The following is a 14,744-nucleotide window of genomic DNA, read 5'->3' on the forward strand; positions in this document are numbered from 1 at the left end:
CTCTAACCTTATATTAATTCCTTAATATTCGTTGTGTGTATAGACCATGGACATTTTCATAGACTGTTTTTAAATTTTTTAATTATCTTTACATATAAATATCCAGCACATAAACTCACTGAGATAGAACAATAAGTTTCATTGTGCTTTGAACCATCCTTGTATCCTCTGGCACCTATTACAATATATGGAATATAGTAGGTGCTCAATAAGCATTTGCTGTGTGACTCTCCAACTCACTGTTAATAAAGCCTCTTAGTTGCTCAACCCATACAAAACGGATCATTTTTTCATTGAGCACATCTCATTGTACTCCATACCATGTCAGCACTTCCTCCTCTACTTTCCAGGAACTTATGATGTAATGGGGACAGGAATAGACAATGGGCAACTTCTAGGCATGATAAGGACTAGGGGACCAGGGTTGGGGAACAACTCAGTTGGCCTAAAGGGAGTCAGGGAAGGAAGCCTTCCTTTCCTGAAGGAAGCTTCAGGAAAGAGGAGCTATTTGAAGTTGGCCTTGAAGCACATATAGAAGATTGCCGCCCGGTGAAGGTGATGGTAAGGATAGATAGGAGGTGGTGGAATGCGGAAGTTCATTCCAGGCAGAGAGAAATCAAAGTACAATGGTACAGGGTCATGGAAGGGTCAGGGCAGTTTTGACTTAAGTATCATAAACTTTTATTTATATGTAACTGAGAAATGGCAGCTGTATAGATTCTATTATTGCTCTACAGTTATACTGATAAATTCACATTTATGGTCTAGATTTTTGACTGGCAAAAATGAGAGCCAAGTCTAATTTTTAACAAAACTGTTTTCTGTCTTTAGATACTTTCTGTTGAATACGGAAATGGTTTAACAGCATTTTTAAAATTTTAATCATCTATTTTGTTTCCTTTTCTCTTGGAGCATTGGATCAAAAGCAGATCATTTTACTATGGTTGAGGTCAGTTTCATTTCTTTACTTCTGCAGAGTGAGATAATATGCTGTGGTTTTAGTTTTCTCAGATGGAAAATATACTCTTTCTCCTCCTGAGTGCACATGCACACTTTTAAAATTCACCATATTTTATTGAGAAGTTGGGAATAAATTACATAACATCATAGTCTTAACCAATCCAAACAACTTAAAGATCAAATGCATAATTAACAGCCACTGCTAAAATCAATATTGACAGGACATAAAACAGTCCTGGAATAGAATCACCAGTGGGGGATCTCCCTTCTCCTGAGTAATTGATTTTGCAAGCAATAGCAAATAATAAAAGCTAATAGGTACCTGGCATCTGGGGAAAGCAGCATTTTGAGAAAGCTGTTTCTAACGCTCTCTGGTTCAAGCTGTATTTTGAAGCAGAGTCAGTGTAAGAGGTGAAGTGCTGAGAGTGGGAAAACAACACAACCCATAAGGTCCATCTCATTATCAAGATCTCTACCTCAGGGGACACTGTTGAGAGTCTTCAATGTAGTCACATTTTAAAACTGTACAAACAACGTAGAATTTGGAGAGGCGGACAAGGCCAGTGGTGGGACAATTTGCTCCAGATCATTTTGATCCTCCACTCAGAACTATGCTGACAAGTCAGAAAGCAGAGGTCTCTCCTGACAATTTTTAGCATGTGGCTGGCCTCTTTGATTGGAGGCTAAAGTGACTGATACAGACCCAAATATCATTAGAGATGATATTTGGGCTCTAAACCTGTATTAGATCTGGGATAGCTGTGTAATCCTCTAGTCACCCTGTCAATGTCATTTATTTCCCCTGTGGAGAAACCCCACAGATGTACTATCATCTGGGCATATCTGGCTAACATCATGTTGCCTGGGGGCAGCAAGGGCAGGCTCTGGGAAGAAATACAGCTCAGCTTTAAAAGAAACTTCATGGTTGGGCACCATGACTCATTCTGGTAATCCTAACACTTGGTGAGGCAGAGGCGGGTGGACTGCTTGAGCCCAGGAGTTCCAGACCAGCCTGGGCCACATGGTGAGACCCCGTCTCTACAAAAAGTACAAAAAGTAGCTGGGCATGGTGGTACACACCTATAGTCCTAGCTACTCAGGAGGCTGAGGTGTGAGGATCCCTTGGGCTCAGGAGGTTGAAGCTGCAGTGAGCTGTGATTGATTCCACCACTGCACTCCAGCTTGAGTGACAGAGAGAATCCCCATCTCAAATAAAATAAAGAAACTTCATTACACTTGGGATAAAAACTGATGTGCGAGAAGAAATATTTCCAAGAAATCTGGAATACATTAAAACTCAGGAAAGAGAGGCCATGGGATCAGTCTTCTCTGCAGGCTGGGCTGGTCCCTACTCAGTGCTCCTTTTCTGCCCTCACGTGCTTGTGTTTTGTTGTAATCCACCGTACCACTGGCTGCCAGAGAAGCTGCAGCATTATTTAGCAATGTTTTACAGAGGAGAGGGGCTAAAATGCATGACTGTAATGTCTCTAACATTAAAGAACTCTGGGAGGCTGTGGTTTTCAAGGATCATGATGAAATGAGTACCTGCAATGGTGATTACAGTAGAGAGAATCGGATGTTCTCTAGCATGAACCTTCCTGAAGACAGGTTGGCCTAGCAAAAGGACAGGCAGAAAAATCAGCAGAATGGATTGCATTGATTTGCTATCAGAGCTTTGTGGAATTAGTAAGCTAAACATCACACCCAGATGCACACATCACAAGCAACGTTAGTTTGGGGATTCAATGATCATAGGTCACCCCTAGGTAGGTCACAGAAGGGAGCTCTGGTGGAAGTTACTGATGGAGATCACTGCTCAGAGATGAGCGAGTATTTCATGAGCCAAACAAGACTGTGTCAACAAACCACAAGCCCCATGGTAGTGAGTACAGCCAGATTCCTACAGGTATCTTAAATGATGTGTCAAGGTCCTTCAAGGTACCGCTTGCAGAAGCATCATGGAACAACAAAAGGTATAGTGGCAGGTGTCGTGGTTGGCAAGCCAGTCTTCATGACTGAATTGAAGTAATAATGTTTTTAAGTCAACCATTATAGAAATAGTGTACTAGTGATTGGGAAGCCTATTAGTGCCAACAATATAGCCTTGTGTAGGCCATTTCTCCAGTTTCTCCCCATGTAAAATGGTGATAATAGTACCTGCTCTGTCTAAGACAGGCAGAATGTTATGTACGCCTGTAGGTTTTGCAGAGGTAGGCCATCGTCACAGCAACTGTTTGGATAACCTAGGGTTAACCTAGGCCTAGGGGGTTCTCATTGAACTCCTGGTTCAGCTGACTTCCAGATTCACTTGCTATTTGCCTCTACCAAGAGCTACCCATAACTGACCTGGGAGTCATGAGATTTGGGATTCAGTGCCACCTCTGCCATATGCTTGTCATCTAAACTTGGGCAAGGTCTTTCTCCTCTCTGACTCTCAGGCTTCTCAGTTATAAAGTGAAGCTGAATTTGAACAGGCTTTGTTCCTCCAGCCTACAGACTGAAGTGATGAAAACATTTTCAACTGTCAGAATTTTCATAGTTTGGCTTCCTTAAAAAGTCTTGTGTCTTATTAAGTCTATTATGTGCTGAGCATAATAGGATTAGAGGAGTAATATTAAATAGGTATACTGACTGATTTTTAATTAGAGAACTCTATATCTTAGAAGTTTTGGGGATCAAACTTACATTCTTCTCTCCATAGTGAGCCAGAATACTTAATTTATTAAATTATTCATGTTTATATGGTCCAGTTTCCCCATTCTGGGGTACTTCTCACTTTTCACTTAACTGGAAGTCATAATGATGGAATTTATTAGATACATGTGGGTTTTGAGTAGAAAAGGGGTTCAATGTATAATTTCAAGATGCAGGTAGAAATAAGCTAGAGGAGAGGAAACAGGACAGTGCTGGGATTAGAACAGTCATCATTAATTTCTTCAAACCTTCATTTCCTCCCCTATGTGTGAGAACAATGTCTTACTCTATAAGATTGGTGATAAAGTGATATGATGAAAAAGAAATATTTACAAACTCTAATGAGTTATAATATTTAGAGTGTTACCTTGTCGTATGACTGGAAGGTCAAGGGGGAATGAGATCATAGGCCCAAACAAGGGCCTTTCAATGAGGCAAGGTCTGGGAACAATAGGTAAAGATCTGCAGATTCCAAAAGCACCTCCAACACTTAATGTCCATCACTAATGAGATCTCTGAAATATTGGTATTAGGCTGTGGATCAGACGATTTTTTCAATTTCCATATATTCTGCTTCAAATTTAGATTTTCACACTCAGCTGCGCAAGTCCATGTAAAAGCTGCAGGCAAAGTCCCAGGGCTAGATTAATTCTTCTTACTGCCCCTGCATCTCAAAGCCTTGACTTTAAAGCCTCCAACTGACTTCCAAGAAAAAAAGTTCTTTAGGGCTTGAAGCTGCTTTTCGCTGTAGACCTAAGTTTTAGAACTGTCCTCAGGAGCATCAGTAGAGAGTGGCTCCTAGGCATTCTGGTTTGATTTAGGAAAAGAAGGGTCATGTAAAGTGAGACGATTTCTTAGAAAGTAGGAATGGACAGGCCAGTGTAGAAATTCCCAAGTTTTGGAACATTCTCTTGTTCTAACTGCATTAATTTCAAGTCTTAGGAAGAGGTGATGGTAATAGGAAACTGCCATTTCAGATTACAGTTTCAGCCATAGGAAGAACTTAATGAACTAACTACATGAAATGATAGAAACCTTTGTAGGAGGTGATTCTGTCATCTTGGATGCCAGTTGTGGCCGAGGCAGGAAAAGTTGGATATTATCAGACAGATATTATAGAATTTGATGTAAAGAAGTTCTGAGAAAAGAAAACTAGGATCCCATTACCTGAGATATTAAAAGGGAGGACAGTTCAAATGACATAGAAGGAAGGCCCTTAAAACAAAATTTGGGCCAGGTGCGGTGGCTCACGCCTGTAATCCCAGCACTTTGGGAGGCCGAGGTGGGTGGATCACGAGGTCAGGAGATTGAGACTCTCCTGGCCAACATGGTGAAACCTTGTCTCTACTAAAAATACAAAAAATTAGCTAGGCGTGGTGGCACGTGCCTGTAGTCCCAGACACTCGGGAGGCTGAGGCAGGAGAATCGCTTGAACCCTGGAGGTGGAGGTTGCAGTGAGCCGAGATCGCGCCACTGTACTCCAGCCTGGCAACAGAGTGAGACTCCATCTCAAAAAAAAGTCCTGACACATTCAGTAATAAAACAGAAAGATATTCAAACACGTCAATGTGTTTTTGACGTGTGGCTACAGAGCATCCTAGTAGCCACAAGTTTTTAGTTAGGGTCTCTTTATCAGATTTCACAGGATGGAAGGTGCTGTTGGATAGTACACTATTTCTATAATGGTTGACTTAAAAACATTATTACTTCAATTCAGTCATGAAGACTGGCTTGCCAAATTTATACCTTCTTCAAATCTCCCAGGGATAACTCATTTATCCTTGGGTGATAGAATTAGAGTGTTTACAAGGGGACTTCAAGCAGTTAAAATGATGGAATGAGAAAAAGGAGATAAAAGTTTAAAAAAAGGAGTATAAATTCCTGCACTTGATTTAAAAAATAACCTTTAGTAGTGCACAGTTGGGGACATCTGACCCAGAAGAGCTTCAGATGAATCAGATTTAAGAAATCCAACACAAAGACTTGTCCTGTTTAACATTCTTATCCCTTTCAACTTCTGTGTGTCTCAGAGTCTATGAATCATTTTGTCATTAAATGCCATGTCTAGAGAGAAGCAGTGGAGAGCAACAGCCCATGTGAAACGGCCCACATGAAACTGCACATATTTAGAAAATTCTACTTCGGACAGAATCACATTGGAATTGCTTGTTCATGAGTTTACACTAACAGTGGATTAAGTTCATCCCAATTCCCAACATAGTATTTTCATGATCAGAAATTTGAAGTATATTTTCTTCTAAATATTTTTGTTCAGATCTCTGATTTCAAAATTTTGATATCTGCACAATATATTGGAAAATTTTGATATTGGCACAATATATTGGAAGATGTCACATACTGATATAGAATGTAGGCCATTAAAGATATCTTCAACCTACAGCTTCAGACAGACCTACTGTTTAAATATTTATCTCTCTAAATGTGCACAGATGACTCTAAAAGGGTGAGAAGATATTTAGAGACAACAGAGGATGCTGTAAGGAAATATCTTTGTTTTGTACACAAGAATATAGTTTTAGAGTTGTGCTAAATAATGCAATCAACACAGGCTGAGTACCATTCTAAATTTAAATGTTTGAAACTTTTTAATTTTGACATTTTGAGTTTTTATAGAATACTTTGTAATATGCTTCAAGTGGCAGAAATATTACTCATTACCATGTTATTAATACTAAAACCTAAGTCCCCAGAGAAACCCTCAGATTGGTGTGGTGGGATGAGGGGAAGGCTCTGCTCAACATGATATTATATTATGTATTATAAATTATATATTTACATACATAATTTATGAATTAAAATTTATGTGTTAAAGTGATGTATTTTTACGTATTTTCTCAACATGTATTTTTATGTATTTTCTCAATATGGCATTTATGTGTTATTAGGATCCTGAGCTTGGACCACGGATCCATCTTGGATGTCAGCTTCTATGTTTCTCTGAGGCTAGCAATTGTGTCACCTTATTCTAGAGCTCTTTGGAGCCTCTATCAGGGAACTGTACATCATTAGCACTATGTGAACATTTGTAAATTGGTCAGTGTCAAAATATGAACAGTTACAGTTTTTCCATATGAACAGCTTATAAACACAACACACACACATTATTAATTTGTAAAACGTTAAATGTGTAAAACCAGCAAGAGCACACCATGTGCCACAGTTAAATATTAATGCAAGTTACATAAGATGTAGGTTTGGATTGATGGTTAAGGGTATTTGGGGAAAAATAAGGAACATTAAAAAAATAAGTCTTACCAAACAGGTATTTTCCTTCATTAAAAGCAAATAAAAATGAGAAATTTTTTTTAATGTAATAACATCTGGTGAGAACAGACAGTAAAAGTTAGATAGCATTAGACTTGAAAAATTCATACCTGTTATTGTGAAGCCACCTAAAAAAGAAAAAAACAACAACAAATGTTATAATTTGACACTCTACATAACAAATACCAGTGACATCAGACTGCCTGACAACCCACCCAAGGTACTTGCCAAATTATATTTACAATTAAGAAGACTAGGAAAATGTTCATGACTGAATCACTAATCGTTCTTTTAAGATTATGAGATTTAATGCACAAATTTAATTCTTGTGCATACCTAAGAAATCACCGATTTTTCAAAAGGTTGTACTAAATTAAAAATGCAATATAAACTATTTGACCTTGACAAAATGAGGTCAATGGCCCTAAACAACAATCTTGCTAGCAAGTCAAGAGAAATAAAAGTCACAGAGCTACTGTATCACCTGACGGAAATGGAAAATAATCTAGAAAAATGGAAAGGAAATGCAAGAAATGAAATGCTTACCAAGCTCATTCAATAACAGGGCTGTGAAGGAAACAGACAAAGACAAACACAGAATAAGAGACCAGATGAATAATGAAAGTAAGAGGAATATCAGCAGAAAGAAATCCAGGCAGATCTGATTACAGTGGTAGGGAGCCACTGCTAAAAATGGGTATACCCCAAAGAAATATAGTGATGGGAATATTTCTGAATAAACAATCCCAACTGAAATTTCTGAAAATGTGTGTGATTGAATACATACGTATATGTGTGTGTGTGTGTGTATATGTATTTCACCTTATATATAATTTCTTTACATTTAATAAGACATTGCTAGTATATATGTTTATACCTAGTATGTAAATCTAGTTTACCAAATACAGTGGAAACATTGTATGAAATTCATTCTTAACTTGATATGAGTGAGGCTTCCTCATTAAATATTGCCTCGGATTTGGTCAATCCAACATATGGAAGTCTTAAATCACCCAGGAACTCAGGTATCACACCTTTTATTCAGTAAGTACAGGTGAAACATCCTGGGACATTCCATTTTGGGTTCCCTGCCTGGAAAGAAAGTTTAGCCCAAGGTAAAGCACTATCTTGGGATGTTCTATTTGGATGATATTTTGTCCACCAAGAATTGCTTATGTTTTAAAATCCTTAAAGCTTAATAGTCCCAGGAATTAACACCTACTTGTGTCCTTATCTGTGACTTCTGTACATTATTAGATAACCAGAATCCTTCTAGTGGACATATCATCCCAGGAAACTGACAGGGCATTGGGTTGGGGGGAGGGGGACGTATAATTTGTCTTTCAGCTTATGTGCTTTAAGCCCAGAATGTACTGTAGCACTTTATTTTAGTAAAAGCAACCTTGCTAAATATATCAAATTATTTCCTGAGTTGAAGACGGGAATGTTACAGTTACTTTTTTGGGCCCAGTTTTCTCTCTAATGATGGTGGCATTAGAGGATACTTTCTAAAAAAAGTCAGTAATTTATTAATAGTGACAAGAATCCACTTGGCGGGTGTGAAACTGGATAGTGCTATTAAGGAATTTTAATTTGCTGTTACATGAGAGCATATTTTACTAAAACGGCAATTGTAAGAGCAGAATCCAAGATGCTCCTCCTTGAGATAAAGTTCTTTGGAGGAATACATTGAGAAGAAAGTGCTTTCTCCTGTATGTTAATGAGGCATTTTGGATCCCATCTTTTAAGAAATCAGCATAATTTTCTGGTCTCTTTTTCTTCTGTCTACCATCTATGGAGCATATTAAATAGGCTTCATTAAAATAGGCCTTGAGTGCTCCTTTTCCCATCACTCCAAATACTCCAAATACTCCATCTTGAACTTGATTAACACAGAAACATACGTGTTTTTTCCCCACCAGCGGACTGTGAGGCCACAAACATGGGATGAACGTGGGATAAATTTTCCTATGTGTCTACATAGCAATTAGTCCTATATATTTTATTTTTCCCTCTACTTGTAAAAGCATAAATTTCTTACAAAGTGGCCCATCTCATTATATCATACTGCTCTCACCAATTGTTTGTATGCAACTAATAAGAGCTATTAATATGTGGTCTGCTCATTTTACACAATAAGTAAATCACCAGAATTCCTTTTAAAATGGCCACCATTAGAGGATAATTATATGAAGCCCTATGAACAATTCAGAATAAAAAATCCTCTGTAAAGCTGATACAAGATTGCTGTCTTTCCTATGAAATATATGCCATATATTAATAATCAGCAAAATCGGCATAATCTAGTTATAAAGGACACTACTTTTATTTTTTCTTTTTTTTATATGTGTTAATAATTTACTAATTCTGTAATTATCAAGAGATTTTGGAGCATAAAGCTAGGTAGGCTTTGGTTTCATAGATATGGTGCCTTTTAAATGTTGTATTTGATGATATAAAAATATGCTAAAATGAGCACTAGAATATTGAAAATACTACTCTTTAAGGATCTTTGTTCTTATTAAATATTTTTAAACTGTGTTCTCCAAAGAAGCCTAATTATTTGAATTCTGAAGTTTCCTGTTAGTTGCCATTAGGGTCATCTACTAATACTAATAGGTATTAAGCAGTTTCTTTTTTCCAGCTTTATTGAGGTATGATTGATGAGGTATTAAGTCGTCTTTATCACTAAAATTTTAGGGAAGATTTAATAATTGGAGTGACATTTTAGAATAAACCGTGAGTAGTGAAAAACTAAACACATTCTTTTATGTAATCATTTCTGAATTACAGAAATCCCTTTCAGTGTTATTAAATCTGGTTGCAATCAAGGTTAGTTGGCATTTCCTGAAGAAAGTGGGCGTTGCCTGTTGCACTTGTGAATTAGGGAAGGGAAATGAAATTGCTAAAGCTTCAAAGGCAATGAAGTATAGTACTTGGAAGCCGAGGAAGAGGAGAGAGTTAAGTGTGAGAGTAGGGAGACACGGAGAGAGAAGAGTACAATTTCTCGCTGGTATGTCTTTGTTTACTCTCACACCTTTCATTCCTCTTCTTATCCATTTTGGTTCCTCAAGCACAAGGGAGAAACTGCACTCTTTCTCATATTCCTCACGGTCAAATATTCTAATGGTAATGATCTTCCTGTGGGAACACAAGACAAAGGCAAAACAAATGGTTGGAGTCACACGCTCATGCTCTTGGTGTCCACCAAGCTGAATGTTACTGTGATGTTATGGAGGGAGAACTGGCAGCACATGGGCCTCCTGAAGTATGTAAAAGGGCATCTTGGGTACTCTTGGCTGGCCCCCATTAAGTTTTCTTTGCTAATTTATCACTTTCACGAATTATTCCCGCTTCAGTTAGCAGTCAGTAGGTACCCCATTTTGGGGTATTTTGGCATGGCATTGCATGGCATCTGCAGCAACTTTCCCAGAAATGGATGCTTGATTGACTGCCCTGAAAATTAATCTCTCAGACGTTAATGTGCAGCGCACCTAACGCTGGCTGATGTAGCTACAGGCCTGCCTACTGTGGCTCAGCATGAGATCTGTGCCCTGTTACATAGGTGGAGGGATGTGTGCATTGTAAGTCATGTTCTGAAGAGTGCAGGCATCCAGGGGTGGCACAGGCCAGCAGAAGCTGTTGGGCTCAGCCCTGGAGCAGCTCCCCCACCTTTCTTCTCACTCATCTCCACCAGGCGGGGCTCTCCAATCTCAAGGAAGAAGGTCTTGTTTTTCTCATACTCCTCATCATCAATTACCTTGACTGATATTGTTTTGCTGAAACAGAGAATAGAAATTGACGAACAAGGGGAAGAGGAAAGAGAAGAGAAGGAACATAGAGAAGAGGAAAGCAAGGTTAACCAGCTGCACTTTCAGACAAACAGTAATCGAGAAACTTCTGTACTGTGAGTTTTTTCTTCAAGAATGGGTATCAGATAGGTATGAAAGATCAGAGATTTCACCCAATGCATAGCTCCCCTGAGCAGGGCCACAGAATTATTTTAGGCAAAATATAGCATTCAGTATTAATAGGTTTGTCATCATCATAAGGAGGAAAAGCAGAAAAACACAGATCACAATAATAAGAAAAGAAAAACACATTAATTTAGTAAATGCCTTAACCATTGGATTGTCTAAGCTATGCCCTGGAACTCACTCCTTTAGAACAAGTCAAAAAATCCCATCAAGATATTAATAGAAGTTATCTCTGAGCAATTGGCTTACAGGTCATTTTTTTTCCTTCACTGTGCTTTATTATAGTTCCAAATATAGTATTTTTATCATAAATTGTTATTAAAATAATAAATGAATAAAAATATCACAAAGAAAATATAGTCAAGTTATTTCACCCCACCCAATGTCTTAGAATCAAACTCTTATTCAGGTTAGTCAGATTCTCCAGCTAGACCACAGCAGGAAGTTGTTCACGTTTTGTTTGTCTTTCTAAAGATGGAAGCTGTGGCCTCACAACAGCTGTTGTGAAAGTGGGGTGGCAGCAGGTGCGAGTCATGATGTTGTAGTTATTTTCATTCTTCCAAAGTTGAGTTTTAACTTTCTATGAAACATGCCATTTACACTACTTTCAAACATCACCGATACACCAAGGTGTTTTGATTAGAATTCTTCCTGTAATCCAACCTTTAACAGTTCTTGCCTTATGGCGCTATGGCTATGAGTGACTGACAGGCAGGTAGGACAAATGCAAATATTATGCAAATCTCAACTTTCCATAAGCATTCTTGATGACTCTGAAAATAAACCAACCTAATGTTACCTTATAATTAATAAGGGCTTAAACAATTCATATACTACAACTAACTTATTAGAAGCCTCTTAAACCCTGATTTGTCTTGAAAAAATGTTTCCAGTAACATTGGCCAAGTACAATTCTGATCAATGTTTTTGAAACAATGAGTGTTTGTAGACAACGGAATTTTAACAGCATGGCCATTCTTTAATTTTGGTGGAGTTTTTTAGGTCTTCTGGAAGGAAATTGGCTTATGATCTTGTTTTTATTTTATTTATCTGAGCCATTAAGTTTCATTAGATCTATGCATACTAAAGAATATCAGTCTTCTTTCCTAATATGAAGGAGTCATAGGTAGAAGATGCTTTTAATTCTCTGAATTTCCCAGCGCCTAATGCCAAATGCTTAAGTCTTGCTTTTTGGCTTAGCATTGTAGACCTGAGACCAAATGATTGGTTCTGGTTCCCTGAAACCCAATAACGTACTCTCTGTTCCTCAGCTAAAGAACATTCTTGAATGATACTCACATTCCAATTTCTCACTCCTAAAAAGCTGCAGCTCATGAAACTCCTTTCTATCTCATTTCTGTCCTCAAATACTGAAATATGAACACACTAGATGAACAGCTATAAGTGACTAAAGCCACAATCATCTTTTAAAGAGTGGTTAGATATTTACAAAACTACCAACAGTATGATAATGTCCAGTTACATGTATACTGTAAACAGCTCCTTCCTGACTTTTAGAATTATTTTTTAAATTTGCATCTTTAGTATAAAAAATTATTCTGCTGTGACTAAACTAGAATATTTAATTTTTCCCTAATATCCAAAAATTATAAAATATTAGAGAAGGCACAGGAGGATGGATGTAAGGAATGATTGATTATTTGATAATTAGAACTGAATTTGATGTTGTAAAATAGATCAAATTTGCTCTACACAAAACTGCCAAATGTCTGTCCTCTTTGTCAACAAAACTTACGCATTTTGGGTATTAATTTCCATCTCACAGTCTTGCAATCTTAAACTTTAGTGGTACATTTCTACAAAAACAAACAGCATGGTGAGACCAAGGGTAGGAAAGTGTTGATGGACAATAATAGGGCCACGCTACTGTTCTCTGCACTTGATGGCCCAACATCCATTATCAAGATGCTTCATTGTAGGGTACATCAAACTGAAACCCCTCATTGTGAGAGTCACGTTGCAATATTCTTGTTAGCATTACTTAAAAACATCTGACGTTATATTTCTCCATCTTGTATTTGCAACCCACCCTGCATCTCATCACATATTTTATTGGATTATAGAAGTAAAGCACAGTGGGGATGGTAGAAGTAGCCTTGCTAATAGGGTGAATGTTTGTGTAGAAAAGGTACCTGTTTCATGTTCACAAAGCAACTTATTCACAAATAAATAAATCACCAAACAACATATTGTTTCTAATCCTTGGTGAATATCATAAATATTTAAATCTTTTAATAGCTTTATTTTCTTTCTTTTTTTTTGTTGAGATGGAGTCTCACTCTTATTGCCCAGGCTGGAGTGCAGTGGTGTGATCTCGGCTTACTGCAACCTCCGCCTCCCAGGTTCAAGCGATTCCCCTGCCTCAGCCTCCTGAGTAGCTGGGATTACAGATGCCCATCACCATGCCCAGCTAATTTTTGCATTTTTAGTAGAGACAGGGTTTCACCATGTTGGCCAGGCTGGTCTGGAACTCCTGACCTCAGGCGATCCACCCGCCTTGGCCTCCCAAAGTGCTGGGATTACAGGGGTGAGCCACCACACCTGGCCTATTTTCTATACTCTAAGTAGCTGATGGGTGTGGGAAACACAGTTATATAGCTCCACACAATTTGTTTGCATATAAAATAAGCATTTATGATTTATCACTAGCATATCCCTAGTCATAGGATCACAATTCTTAGAAAATTTTGAAGTACTTGATAACTATGATACTGGAAAAATCAAAGATGAAGAAAAAGAAAAAAGTACTTTTGTAGGTGCCTGGCAAAGACATCTAAAACAGATGGAATTTGCATAATGGCATATCATTTCAAAATCATTAGTAATGGAATCAATAATGCTCCTGACAGGAAGAGCCACTAAATTATATATTGATTTCACTCCTCTTGCACAGTAAAGCTATTAATAGGAAACTTGATTATTAAAGGACATTTCAGTGGATCTAAAGTGGCAGGATGAAGTCAGTCCTTATGAATTAGCCCTTTAAATCAACAGAGGCAAAAATCAGAAGGCACTGGTAATGTTCACCTTTTGCTTCAGAACAGAACAATTTCTCCCCTTAGCAAAGGTAGCTGAGGTGAAATAAACCAATGTAATTTTTAAAGGAACACATCCTTAGGATGTCTCCTTTTCACCTTCCAGAGCCTAATGCATGAAAGATACTGCTACCACTTCTTCCTTCACAGGGGATAGTATGGGGTTGGTTTGGTGAAGATGTCGTTATTTTGGCTTGATAATCAGCAGAAGCATGTTCCTCACAGTTCTGCAGTAGAAAGAATCTCAAGGACTGACGGAACCTTGAATGTCCTCCAGTTGGCCCCATTGCCACACCAATCCCATGTCCACAGGACTTTTGCACTGTCACAAGGACTCCAGCTCCCTGAGAACCTACATCCATTTTGGCTGTTCTGTTCTGTTTACCAACGGGAAACATAGCTGTTGCTACTTCTTTTCTTTAAATAGACAGGTTAACAAAATCAAGACTGGAACTGTTGGGTAGACACAGTCCTTCATCCAAATATAATTCTTGCATTTTTACTGCACTGATAAAGAACAAATAGAAAAACTGGTATCATGCAACTTTCAACTATTATAATTATTATAAAGACAGGAAAACTCACTTCTTTTTTACAGCTTTTCAAATTTGAGCAGTATACTATAAAAACTGTGGTTTCTGGAAACTAGCAAAGCAGTTACAAATCTTACGATAGCATTGAAATATTTCTTAATATGGCCAAAATTTTTATGGAAGTACATTTTGGTTCTATTTCTAAAAAAAAGAAAAAGAAAAAAACATTCGGTTAAGAA

At 37.8% G+C, this 14,744-nt stretch overlaps 1 protein-coding gene and 1 long non-coding RNA gene across 24 annotated transcripts in view; one reads left to right on the plus strand and one right to left on the minus strand.

The window, feature by feature from the left end:
* The window catches only part of SLC8A1-AS1 (SLC8A1 antisense RNA 1), a 337,576-nt gene that overhangs the window by 250,142 nt on the left and 72,690 nt on the right, over positions 1-14,744 (plus strand). The window lies entirely within an intron of this gene.
* SLC8A1 (solute carrier family 8 member A1) overlaps positions 1-14,744 on the minus strand; it is a 415,166-nt gene that overhangs the window by 70,506 nt on the left and 329,916 nt on the right. For 4 of the 23 annotated variants that reach the window (NM_001351487.2, NM_001394105.1, NM_001351488.2 and 1 more), the window contains 3 exons: positions 10,612-10,718; positions 7,050-7,067; positions 2,506-2,574 (listed from right to left, as the gene is read on the minus strand). In NM_001351487.2, the coding sequence (NP_001338416.1) occupies positions 2,506-2,574; positions 7,050-7,067; positions 10,612-10,718 (194 nt within the window). Of the gene's footprint in view, positions 1-2,505; positions 2,575-6,930; positions 6,946-7,049; positions 7,068-7,485; positions 7,507-9,976; positions 10,081-10,611; positions 10,719-14,744 lie in introns of all 23 variants that reach the window. The other 19 variants (NM_001112802.2, NM_001394106.1, NM_001351494.2 and 16 more) reach the window with 8 other exon arrangements.

Source organism: Homo sapiens, chromosome 2 (genome assembly GCF_000001405.40).
Source record: "Homo sapiens chromosome 2, GRCh38.p14 Primary Assembly".
Lineage (NCBI taxonomy): Eukaryota > Metazoa > Chordata > Mammalia > Primates > Hominidae > Homo > Homo sapiens.